Genomic DNA, 12,852 nt, shown 5'->3' on the forward strand with positions numbered 1-12,852 from the left:
GCAAGAAAAAGGTTAATTGTGAAGCCTGCTCTTGGCTTTGGCTGTGTGTACAAGGGCTTGGTGTCTCAATGCAATCATTAAGAACTGTTTTGAGAATCTCTAGGTACATTTAATGTAAGAACATGGCCCTCACAGCCCAAGCTTTTCTGTCTATCAGGTTACCAACCATCTGCAGAATTTAAGTGTGAGACTTCTATGCAGATGGTGAGGGCAAAGAATGAATTACATTCTGTGATGTGGGGTTGGGACTCAGAGCTAAACTGTGGGAGGCTTGGAGGCTGGGGTCAGAGATGAGTTCACTTTTCAACACTGTCAAGAAAATCTTATCAAGGCAAGATTAAGCAGAGAGCATCTTCATAATATATGATTGCATATGTTTATCAAACAGGAGCAGCTATTTTTATTCCTTTCTACCTGTGTGGATTTTCATAAATGTTACACATATTTGTTCCCTTGGCCATCAAACATCTTCAAGATTTCACACACCTCGTTTTCCTCAGAGATCAGAATATCCGCCTTGATACAAAAGGGATGAGTGAATAGGCATGGTTGCCCATTCTTAGAGGGGGCTGGATTCTACAATGATTAGGTGGTTGGGATTTGGTGCAATGGTTTTGTTTAGTTCCCCAAGTGTTAAATAACTTGAGCAAATATAGATACAAGCTCTTCACCTCCTTTGAATTTTAAAGTGACTAATGTAAAATATAATCAAATGTCCTGTCTCCTAGTTTAGCAGGGGAATCTGCTTCCCTTCATGTGGGAGGATCAGGGCTGTTGCATGTGGCTGTGCATTTGATGGGCTGCACAAAAGCTCTTGATGGAGAAGGGGTGAGCAGAGACAGAAACCAACCCCAAGCCCCACTCTGCAAGCTCTGGGACCTTCAAAGCTGAATCTGCCACACACAAACCTCCCCCTCCACTAACATATTTTTCCCAGTGGTACCTTCCGCTAACCATGCCCGCTGAGAGAAGTGCTGCATCTGCCCACAGGGGGTGCCCAGAGGGTGGCCTTTTTTCAGTCCCTATGAAGGTGCGCCAAAGCTGGCAGCCAACTCTGAGCTCAACATCATTTAGGAAAATCACTGCCATCATCAACTGGAAAATAAAGAAAGTACAGCAGCCCTGAAACCCTTTTTTACCAACCTGATTTTGCTCTTCAAGCAGTAGTACAGGTTGTAAAAAAAATAAGTGAATTAAACATTCTTTCCAAATCATCATCATAAAACTGTTATAGACCCTAGGAAAAATAGCTTTTTGTAAGGAAACACAGAAAGAATTGTTTCTAGACACTAGATGTATTGATTCACAAATGAAAAGTGGCTTAACCAAAACAAAAGAAGACTCCTGCTTTTATAAGGTTTTGCTTATAGCAATTCAACTGCTCCTTTTCATCACCAGGGTATGTTGGTGGGAGGAGCTAATTGGCCTAATTTTTCAAGATGAGAACAGGGAGGCAGAGAGGTCAGACTAACCTCCCCCTGGCTGTATGGGAAATCAATGGAATACTTTTTGGCTGCAGATGTGGCCCTGCCCCTTGGCCACTGCGCCAGTGAACTCTGGGAGACAGGATTGAGTACGTGGTCAAGGGACCCACCTCAATGGCTGCCTTCTTGGCCTTCTCTTCTGCATTTTGACACTCCTGCACCACCTCTTCAGCTTCTTTCTGCATCCGGGCAACATCAGCCTCCAGTTTCTTCTTCTGGCTGAGGAGGCTTGTGTTCTAAAGAAAAGCAGCATTCCTATTAGGCAAGTAAAAACCAGCAATGCAAATGCAAGCTGGTCTGTTCAGGACATGCAATGGGAGTCAGCTCTGGCCAGAAGCAAATTTTATTATAGTGAGCCATAGTCCCTTAAGCAGTGCTCCCAATCCCGAAAGGCTTTTGCCATCAAACTTGAATGGAAGGGATTTCACCCATTAGAAGTTCAAGACTAAAGAGATGGCAGCCTGAATCAGAAGGGAAGAAGGGTATCTAGATAACCTACAAGCCCCAAACGTGTTTGGTTTTCAATGGGTTGAGGAAATGTTTCTCTGCCACTTGCTTTTGGATGTGGTAGAAACAAGTGTTCTAGAGCAGAAGTTGGGGTCAGTTGCAGACATCTGAGGAGCAGAGGTTGGGGAATAAAAATTGTAACTCCAAGTATGCTGCTCCAGAAACAAACAAAAAAAATCATTCCTCTTCTTTTTGTACTTCCCTTCCTATCTTACTTTACAGTGAGGAGGTGGGGAAAGTAGTTCAGAATAAGCCTCCTCCAGCCCTTAGGTACCCTCATTACCACGGAGGATTCTTTGTGTTCTGTGGTTGGTGCTGCCCTAATTCTTTCCTTCCTGAGTTGTGACACTAGAGGCCAAATATCCTTTTGCTGCTATTTGGTCTGTGTTTGAAGCCCAGCTTTTCTGAGGGTGTGAAAACTCGCAGTGTATATAAAAGGCATAGGCTTTCTATTTTTTTATTTCTCCTTTCACTTTATCCGTTTCACATTCACTTGCCTCTGGCTAGTGCCTTTCTCAGTAGCAGGATGAAGACTTGGAAATAGAAGGATACTCCAGGCCAGGTGTGGTGGCCCATGCCTGTAATCCTAGCACTTTGGGAGGCTGACGGGGGTGAATCTCCTGAGCTCAGGAGTTTGAGACCAGCCTGGGCAACATGGTGAAACCCCGTCTCTACCAAAACTTTTACCAAAAATAGTTGGGTGTGGTGGCATACAGCTGTGGTCCCAGTTATTCGGGAGGCTGAGGTGAGAGGATTGCTTGAGCCTGGGAGGCGGGGGTTGCAGTGAACCGAGATTGCACCATTGCACTCCAACCTGAGTGACAGAGTGAGACTCCGTCTCAAAAAAGAAAAATAAAAAATAGAATGATATTCCAGCATCACTGGTTCTATCTACCCCATTTCTCTATGGCATGAAGCATCTTTATCAAGACTGCCATCTTTTGTCCTTATGGAAAGCCAGGCCCTGTATACCTCCTAGATTTCCACTGCCATGGCCTGAGAGATGGGGTGGAATTAAGTTGTATTTTCCTGAAGTGTTTTTTGGATGCTCACAGCACAGACTCCATAGAAACTATTTCTTTGTAGAGGAAGGTATAAGTACAAATACTAATTTGTTTGTACATAGAATCCTTTAAAATTTGCTAGGGAGACAAGGGTTTAAATCTTTGCAAACTGAATTACTCTCTAATTTGTTTTTTTTTTCTTTCTTTTTTTTTTTTTTTAGGAGAAAGGGAGTTAGGAAGTGCTTTGCAGAAAGGTAATCTAGATTGTCACAGCTCAAGTTTGAAAAAGACACCTGTAATCAGTCAAAGATAAGTTTAGCCTCAAATGTTAGTCCTAGGCTGGAGATCTGGAAATGCAGGAGGTAGCTAAGAAGGCTCCCTAAAAGGTTCAGTATGTTTTGCTTGATAATGTTCTAGTAACTGCAAGGTGCCGCAGCATGGTTTAGGTTGGGGAGAGGTCCTTGTGAATAATATCACCTAGACCAGTGCTGGTCAAAGGGTAGTCTTTCTATGAGCAGTAGCACCTGAGAACATGTTCACTTTCTAGGTCCCATTGCAGAGCTTCTGATTTAGTGGATCTGGGGTGAGATCTGAGAATTTACATTTTTGTGTTAGGGATTCTTATATGTACACATCAAGTTTCAGAAACTCTGCCCTAGAGACCAGGTCTCCTCTACCTAATTTTCTTCTTCCCCAAATCCTCTCCTCTCTATGAATGCTTTTTCTCTAGCTGATCCTCATCTCTCTCTAGGCTAGTGATTTTGCATCATATTGGATCCCACTGGTGCATTATCATGTATGATATGCATGGCAAATGATTTGTTACCAACAGCAATTAAGTACTATAGACCAGCGGTCCCCAACCCATTTGGTTTCATGGAAGAAAATTTTTCCATAGACCAGGTAGCAGGGTTGGGGGGAGACGGTTTGGGGATGAAACTGTTCCACCTCAGATTATGAGGCATTAGATTCTCCTAAGGAGCATGCAACCTACATCTCTCACATGAGCAGTTCATAAGAGCATTTGCACTCCTATGAGAATCTAGTGCTGCTGCTGATCTGACAGGAGGCAAAGCTCTCTCCCCTGCAGCTCACCTCCTGCTGTGCAGCCCAGTTCCTAATAGGCCCCAGACCTGTACTGGTCTGTGGCCCAGGGATTGGGAAACCTTGTTCTAGACAGTGGATGAGTTACTTTTTTAAAAAAAGTCTGTAGTCTATTTTATAAGAATCCAACTCATTGTATTTAAACTTTCTTGAAGGAGAAAAAAAAAATGTTTGAGTTAGCCTGTTGGGAATTATCTATAACCTACAGACTATTTGTTCTATACCACATGGTACCCAGACGGGATTGTGTCATACACATGGACACAAAAGTCAAACTGTAGGCACAAACTAATTACAACATCTTTCAACAGGCACATTTCTGGTTTATACTTTCTTTTATCCAGTATTTTTCAGTAGGGGGAACATTGGCATTCTGGAAGGGGCAGTTCCTTGGGATTATCCTTCACCTTGAAGGAGTTTTGGTATCTCTGGACCCTACTCACTAAATGCCAGTGGTATTTCCCAGTCACTGTGGCAACTAAAATGATCCCACAGATGTTTCTAAATGCCCCAGAGTGTAGCAGTTCTGCCCCTAGGTGCTTTAATCTGTCCTTCACAATAATCACCACAGTAAAACTTCCTAAAATGCAAATCTGATAACTTCACTCTTAGCTACTCAAAATTCTTCAGTGGCTCTCCATGAGCTGCAAGATAAAATTCAAACTCCATCACTCTCAGGCTCAGGGTCACTGGTGACCTGGCCCCACCTATCTCAGCATGATTTCTGATCCTTCTGGCTATCCACCGAATACTCTAGCATGTGAATTTCCCTTAGAATCCTAAACTCCTTCCCCCTGCCCCCATGTCTCTGCCCTTGACTTTCCTCTCTACCTGGCTGGCTTCTTACATGTCCTTCATGACTCAGAAGAAGCATACTGTGCAGCTACCTAACTCTTGGATTGTCAAAGAAGGCTTTCTGTAGGGGTGTGCTTGCTATATCATTATACTTTTAGCAGTGTACTACAATTGCTTAGTTCAATCTTCATTTTTTTAGGACAGTGGAGACATTCTGTGTCTATACCATCCATACCAGTCCAGGTTATGGTGGGGGTGCCCTATAAACACTTATCACACAACCCATTTACTATAGATGTTTGTCCTAGAAACTATGGCTTCTTCTGATTCTAGGATAAGGAGAAGGATCTAAGAATTCTTGCTTCGTGTCACTTACATAACCTTCCATTAGAAGCCAGAGTCCAGACGGTGTATCATATTTGTCAGCAGCCACTCAGAATTGTTAGGGCTTTCCTGGCTCCAAGACAGGAGCATTGTTTTTATCCTGGGATGCTGGGGAAGCACATGGCTTAGAGAGAGCAGGAGAACCAGGAGCAGGAGTGGTTCTGGAACATTAGGGAATGTTCATCCCTCCCTCCCCAGCATCCTGGCTGTGGATGCCCTGACAATCCATTCTTCTGGCATAAGGCTTATTGTTATGGGTTGAATTTTGTCTCACACACACACAAAAAGATATGTTGAAGTCCTAACCCCTTATTTATCAGAATGTGACCTTATCTGGAAATAGGGTCTTATTTTGTTTAAAAGGAAGCTGGAAAAAAGGGAGGTAGGGGGTAAATGAGTTAAAATGAGGCCATTAGGGTGGACCTTAATCAAATATGACTGGTACCCCTATAAAAAGTGGCAATTTGGACAGCAACAGACCCTCGCAGCGGGAAGATGCTGTGAAGACACAGGAAGAACACCATGTGAAGGCGGAAGGTTAGAGTGATGCATCCATAAGCCAAGGAATGGCAAAGATTGCCGGTAAGCCACCAGAAACTAGGAAGGGGCAAGGAAGGATTTCCCTACAGGTTTCAGAGGGAGCATGGCCCAGCTGACACTTTGATTGCAGGCTTCCAACCTCCAGGAATGCGAGAAAATAAACTTCCGTTGCTTTACGCCACCCTGTTTGTGGTACTTTGTTATGGCGGCCTGAGGGAAATAACACACTTGGGAACAAATGAAGAGTATGAACATGCCTTGCTTCACAGGCACATCCAAGACTTAACAGGGCGACTGTGCATGGTCCAAGGCCGCCCCAAGTGTGGGAACCACTGCCTTCAACCAACTGGCCCAGCTAATAGGGAGAGTATATGGGCCCCACCTGGGTATAGAAAAGATTGATTCTTTCTGTTGCTTCCAGGAGCTCTTCTTCTGACAGCCTGCGGCCACGCTCTGTCTGCTCTTGCAGGGACCTTAGATCCTCTAGTTCAGACTGAAGAAGAGAGTTGCGCCGCTCAGCCACAGCCACCTGCTCCTTCAGATCACTGTTCAGTTGTGTGCTGTCATCCAGCTGCATTTGAAGGTCCTGGGAGAGAAAAGATGGGTCTGGAGTACAGATCCCTCTGAGTTCAACATAGACTATGCACCTACACATGCATGATCTGACTATATATTTAGACATAAGCATGCTCCTTCTCTCTGGAAAGATTAGATTTGTTGTCCTCATCTTTACTGCTGAACACAATCTGTTGCTTAGTTTGCTTCCATAAGCAGAAACATTTTCCACCCCTCCCTACCCCATCTTACAGTTTTAAAATACCTTGATTTGAATCTGAAGCTGGCCCAGGGATTTGGTTGCTTCTGACACCTGCCGGTTGGCACAGCTAAGCTGGAGTTCCATCTCATTGAGGTCCTCTTCCATCTTCTTCTTCAGCCGGGTAACCTCAATTCTGCTCTTAGCTTCAGAATCCAGACTAGACTGCAGGGAGTCAATGGTACACTGCTGCTTCCTCCTAATTTGAAATAACATTTGGAGTGGGGGAAATGACACATCCAAATTAATCAAATTCACCTGCTATGTTTAAAACAGTACAAGAAACAGAAAAAGAATAAAATCCAAGATAAATTTTAAGTAACTAACAAAATGAGTCTAAGTGCTTTTATTTTAAAAACAGAGAGAATGAGAAGTTAGGTTAGTGAGTATATGTCCACCATAATGGACTACGTAGGGTTTCCAGACCAACTTCCCTGAAGAATTCAGGAAAATACAAGAAGCTTTTCAAGGTCCTGTGAGGCAGCTTTAGTCTTATCTGATATCCCATAAAGGATGACCTAGGGCAAGCACCTGGGTTTCCTGTGGTGGCTAAGGATGAAGGAAGGATGCTCTTTCAGACAGCCGTAATATTTCAACTACTTTCAATGATGAAAAATGTCTGAACAAGGCAGGAAAAAGCCACTCAGGTTGGAACAATTCTTGAGATGCAGCAATACTGCTATAGTAGCCTGGAGACACAACTCTCCTAGAATAAAATGGTTATCTTTCTCTAGGAGTTTGAGAGTACACCCAAGGATTGGCTGAGACAACCAATTGTGTGATATTGAATTACTTTAACACTTTAAATTCCTTCCTAAGAAAAAAAACTAGAACTAAAAACGTATTTGCAAAGTGACAGAAGACAATAGCTATGTGTTTAGGAAGGCCATAAAAAATAAAAAATTGGGAGAATCCATGGGAATTTGTATTTCCCAAACTGTTTGTAGTTAGTTTGGGACTATGTGACTAGATTCTGGTAAATGCACTGTGGAGAATAATGAAGTTTACCATTCCAGGGCTGGCCCATAGAAATGTTCACTTGTGAGATCCTGCACTCTCCCTTCCCCCTTTCTACCAAACTTGATGGCCACATACAGAAGGTCATGGAGTCACAAGATGGAAAGAACCTGGGTCTTTCAATGACTTTGAATGTTATTGACCGACTCTTCATCCTACCTCACAATGGCCTCAAACATAGGCAAAAATAAACTTCTATTTGTTTTAAGTCACCAAGATTTGGTGATTGTTAGGACAGTTTAACTGCTGTAATTGACACATGACCTGTTAAGCTCAATTCATGAAACAGGGACCTGGTGCTGGACAGATAATAGAGAACAGAGAAGGCAAAAACCTTTCTATTCTTCTTTCTCATAGAGCCTATCTCCACAAATCAGATTAGATCAGAATTAGATTCCATGTTGAATTGTCATCAAGCCAGTGTCCTAAGCTCTGTGAGGTCGATTAAGAAGGCATACAGGCCGGGCGCAGTGGCTCACACCTGTAATCCCAGCACTTTGGGAGGCCGAGGTGGGCAGATCGAGACCAGCCTGGCCAACACGGTGAAATCCCATCCCTACTAAAAATACAAATATTAGCCAGGCGTGGTGGCATGTGTCTGTAGTCCCAGCTACTTGGGAGGCTGAGGCAGGAGAATCACTTGAACCCAGAAGGCAGAGGTTGCAGTGAGCCAAGTTTGCACCACTGCACTCCAGCCTGGGCAACAAAGCGAGACTCTTGTCTCAAAAAAAGAAAAAAAGAAGGCATACGGCCTACAGGGGGAAGAGAGAGGTCAGAGCTTGAAATTGGTTGACAGGTGGAGGTGCTACTTTTCGTGACCCCCATTCTGCCCACTGGTGAGGGAGGCCTCAGAAGCAATTATGGAAATGTATAGAAAATAACTCTGTCTGGCTCCAGAGCCCAATGTGAGCACCTATCCTCTGCCAACCCCATCTCCCTGGTCCTCACAAGCTGAGGTTGGTATCTCATGCCTGTCCTTAGGCTCTGGGCTTTTGTCCAGCTTCCAGATCAGAATCCTGTAGGGATCCCACTAGGTAAAGTTAATATGGACTTTTAGGAACTGCATTATGTCCCCACCAAAATTTACACGTTCTTGCCGTAACCCCCAAGACTTCAGAATATGACTATATTTGGAGATAGGGCCTTTAAAGATGTAATTAAGATTAAATGAGGCTGTTAGGATGGGGCCCTAATCCAATGGGACTAGTTAGCATCCTTATAAGAAGAGGAAGAGACACAGGGATGCATGTGCGCAGAGGAAAGCACAGATGAGGATGCAGTGAAAATGTGACCGTCTGCAAGCCAAGGAGGATCATCAGGAGAAACCAAACCTGCCAACACTTTGATCTTGAAGCTTTAGTCTCCAGAGCTGTAAGGAAATACATTTCTGCTGTTGAAGCCACCCATCTGTGCATTTTGTTATGACAGCCATAGTAAACCAATACAGGGATGCTCACACTCACATCACCAAAATCTGTCAGACACTTATCTGTCCTACATTGGGAAACTCTCATTTTTGCCACAGCTGGCTCTCCTTACACAGGAACACTGAAGCATCCCCAGCCTGGTGTCAAAATCCTCTGTACAGAAATACATTCTACTTAAGCAGACAAACTGCATGTTTCAAACTGCACTTTTCCCACAGTTGTTTATGAAACTTCATGAGTGCCTGCAGACAAGTAAAAAGTGAGATGGTTTAAAAGGCATGGGTATAATACAGTCCTGTAGAATGGCTGCTGAACAATCAACATGTTTCATACAGAGTCAAGAAATCTTTAAAATGAAAACTCCCTCAAGTACATTCTTTAAGAAACATGATGCATTCAGGACCAAGGGCAATATAGGAAGAAGTACCTTCTTTTTCCTAAAATGTGAAATACAATTTAAAAAACAAATGCAAAGAAAAATCAAGATGATAGAACTTGGAAGAGCTAATGATTTAAAATCATTAGCTCAGCATTTAAATCATTGACAATGCAGTAGGTCATTTATTTCCCTTACGATATTGCTAATCTATGTATGAGAAATAAGAGATTTTTTTTTCTTAATCCAAATACATATGAGCCAGCTTTAAAATAATTAACAAGCTATTTTGCTACCATGTCTGAGTTTGAGGTTCTAATTTTCAAAGACACTCGAAAATATTTTACTTAGAAGTGAGAAAAGATTTGAGCATATTCTGGCAGAGATTCACTCAGACAATAAAAGAAACCAAGTCAGATGGTGTATATAAATTAAGACCACGTGGCAAAGTTTGACATGACTGAGTTCAGAGGAGTGGACTTTACAGAAGGAACATTACTATATACCTGGGGCTGTAGACCAGGGTTGGGAAAACTATGGGCTGTGGGCCAAATCCCACCATGCCCATTTATTTCCTATTGTCTATGGCTGTTTCCAACCTACAACTACAGTGTTAAGTAGTTGCCACATCTCTGTGGCAAACAAAACATGTAGCTAGCAAAGCATTTAACATCTGACCCTTTAGAGAAAAAGCTTGCCTAGCCTTTCAATCAGTGATCAACCCAAAACAAACAAGCACAGTATGATAGAATAAAGAAGTTCAGTGCCTCATTCCCAAAAACACCTCTCTGGGTGTGTCTGGGAGAGCAGAATACAGCTCAGAAAGACCATGGCTGTGGACCAGTGTGATGACTCTCACATTTCAACATTTCCTCCAATCAGAGAATTCCCTGAAGATGCAGGATGCACCTGACCAACCTGTTGTCAGCTCAGTCTTGGGCCATGCAGTAGGGCTTGACTAACATGGCAATTATGGCAATGATTTGGCCTTCAAGCTAGCCTTGTTTCCTGTCTAATAAGATGGGAAGATCAAAGCCAGCTACCAGCTCTTCTTCTCCTTCCATCAGTGACTGCACCGTCACCTCCCTACCTCTACCTGTGTCAACTATAACATTATTTATTTATTATAGAAATAAATGGAATACCCTATCATCCAAAAATGTCTATGAAGCCCTGACTAGAATATGAGGCACAGTGTCTGGTGAACATTAAGCACTCCAATATCTGTTGAACAAGTGAAACATATCACATACATACCAGCTGCTTGTACTTTTCACCCCCAACAGGCCTCCAGGCTGGGCTCATTCAGAATCAGGCCTCACCAGAGTGGAAGACATGGCTTGGCAGCAGAGAATTAGTTGAATGAGTTACCCAGTTTGCTGTACTATCAAGGTTTTGCCTTTGCCTGTGGGTCTCTTTCTCTTGCTTTCCTGGTCCCTTTAACTTACTTACCAGGTCCTGTCTTCCTGGGCACCTTCTGTTTCTGTGGAGTTAATGATGGGTTATATGGGCATAGGACCTTGAACCTGATCTTGCCCTCAGGCAATATTTTCCTTGTTCTATAACTTCCCTGGCTTATCGTTGATTGCTTGGAATCTTGTGTTTGGCTTTTTTTTTTTTTTTTTCCTCCTGGCATTCTATTCAGTTTCCTTAAGATGCCCTTGCTAGCCCCAAAGTGAAACTATCAGATTAAACCTTGGCAGTTTGGTACAATCTGTGCTCAGAGCAGAAAGGGTCTGGGCTGGTATTTGTGATATTTTGTAAGATAAGCTCATCTTTTCTTTCTGGATCTACCTATTATAGTTATTATGAATCATTAACTAAAATTTATGAATAGCTCACCCCCCTGCCTCCAGTCCACCCCTTCTTTTCTCAGCTCCTCATGGCTCATGCTTATCCTTCAGTTCTTTCTTCTTCCAGCCCTAGCTCTTTGGATCTCTGGCTTTTTTTCGCACTAAGATTATTATAATTGGTGAACTGCTCTACGACATTCAGATGTAGCTGACGAGACACAGGCTCTCTGAGGATTCATTTCTCCTCAGCTGGGTTTATTTATAGGCACAGGTCTGATATTACTTGAAATCAGTGTTATTTGTTGCTTTTTTTTTTTTTATCTGCACAAGGAGACATTCATTTTTATTCCTTGTGGAAAGAAGTAGGGCAAATATCAAGGCCCAGGGTTTTTGCCCTTCATCAAAAAAATTCTTTTAGACACTGACTCAGAACCTCTTAAGTAGATCAGAATTCCTCGCCACAGTCAGTCCTGTAGAAGAAAATGCCAGTGAGTGAGAGCAAAGATAACTCAAAGCACATAGAAGGCCAAATTTGGCTTGACACCCTCATTAAAAAATTGACCCCCTTGAGAGTTTTGTCTAAAAATGGGCTGTGGGAAAGAGGTCAGTTCAATTGAACATGTTAACAGGGTTTTTTTTCTTTTTCTTAAAAAAAGACTGTTTAACAAATACATTGAAAGTAAGTTGCCAGTTGAATCTCAGGCTCAAATGATTTTTCTTGCTGACATATGGCATTGACTTAAGGGAACAGATTAGATAATATAATCATCGTTAATTCCATGTGTTTATAATTGTGCCTTTGATCTACAGCGTGTGAAGTGCTTTGCCAACATCAGCCTACTGATCTTCCTCACCACCTTCTGTGACATGTAGGGACTGCTTTTATCCCCTCACTTCACTGAGAAGCTAAGAAGTGGAATGTCTAAAGTCATCAGCTTGTTATGACAAAGCTAAGAAAACATTCTGCAACCCATGAGTCCTGTCTAATTCAGTTTCCTGACTATTAAGACTCAGCTGCTTTAACAAGGATTCAATAAGCAGCTTAGCTCTTGGCTTCTGCTCCTCTTCAAACAAATGGCTACAGGTACAGGCAGGGGGTATGTGAAAACTTCACTCTGGTCTGAAAGTACAGCACTGAATTTTTTAATTTTTTAATTTTTTTCTCCATGGCTCAGCATTTTCAGTCAATTTCTTAATGCCCAAGAACGTGGCATTATAGGGACACGCAGACAGTATGCACAGTCCTTATACATATAATCATTTATTTGGTGTTGTCTTGAGTCTCACATGACAGTAGAAGCTCCTCAAATATAAGAAAATTATAAAATCTGGCAATAATCGTATATAGATAGCTAGTAAGCTCACCACTATTGATATAAAGGAATATCTGTACACAATTGTGTATAAAGGGATATCTAATTGTGTATAAAGGAATATCTATACACAATTGTGTATAAAAGGATATCTAATTGTGTATAAAGGAATATCTATACACGATTATAGATATTGTATATAAAAGAAAATAATATAGAGTTACACTAAGTTTCTTTGGTAATGCTCCAACAGGGGCCATAAAAGCAGCCAGACATAATGAGCTCTGTTTAGTC

General features: G+C 42.3%; 1 protein-coding gene across 2 annotated transcripts in view; it reads right to left on the bottom strand.

The window, feature by feature from the left end:
- MYH15 (myosin heavy chain 15) overlaps nt 1-12,852 on the bottom strand; it is a 170,705-nt gene that overhangs the window by 12,069 nt on the left and 145,784 nt on the right. For both annotated transcript variants that reach the window (XM_011512559.3, NM_014981.3), the window contains 3 exons: nt 6,639-6,831; nt 6,201-6,404; nt 1,595-1,720 (listed from right to left, as the gene is read on the bottom strand). In XM_011512559.3, coding sequence (XP_011510861.1) covers nt 1,595-1,720; nt 6,201-6,404; nt 6,639-6,831 — 523 coding nt within the window. The remainder of the gene's footprint in view (nt 1-1,594; nt 1,721-6,200; nt 6,405-6,638; nt 6,832-12,852) is intronic.

The sequence above is a fragment of the Homo sapiens genome, chromosome 3, assembly GCF_000001405.40.
Source record: "Homo sapiens chromosome 3, GRCh38.p14 Primary Assembly".
In the NCBI taxonomy this organism is placed as follows: Eukaryota; Metazoa; Chordata; class Mammalia; order Primates; family Hominidae; genus Homo; species Homo sapiens.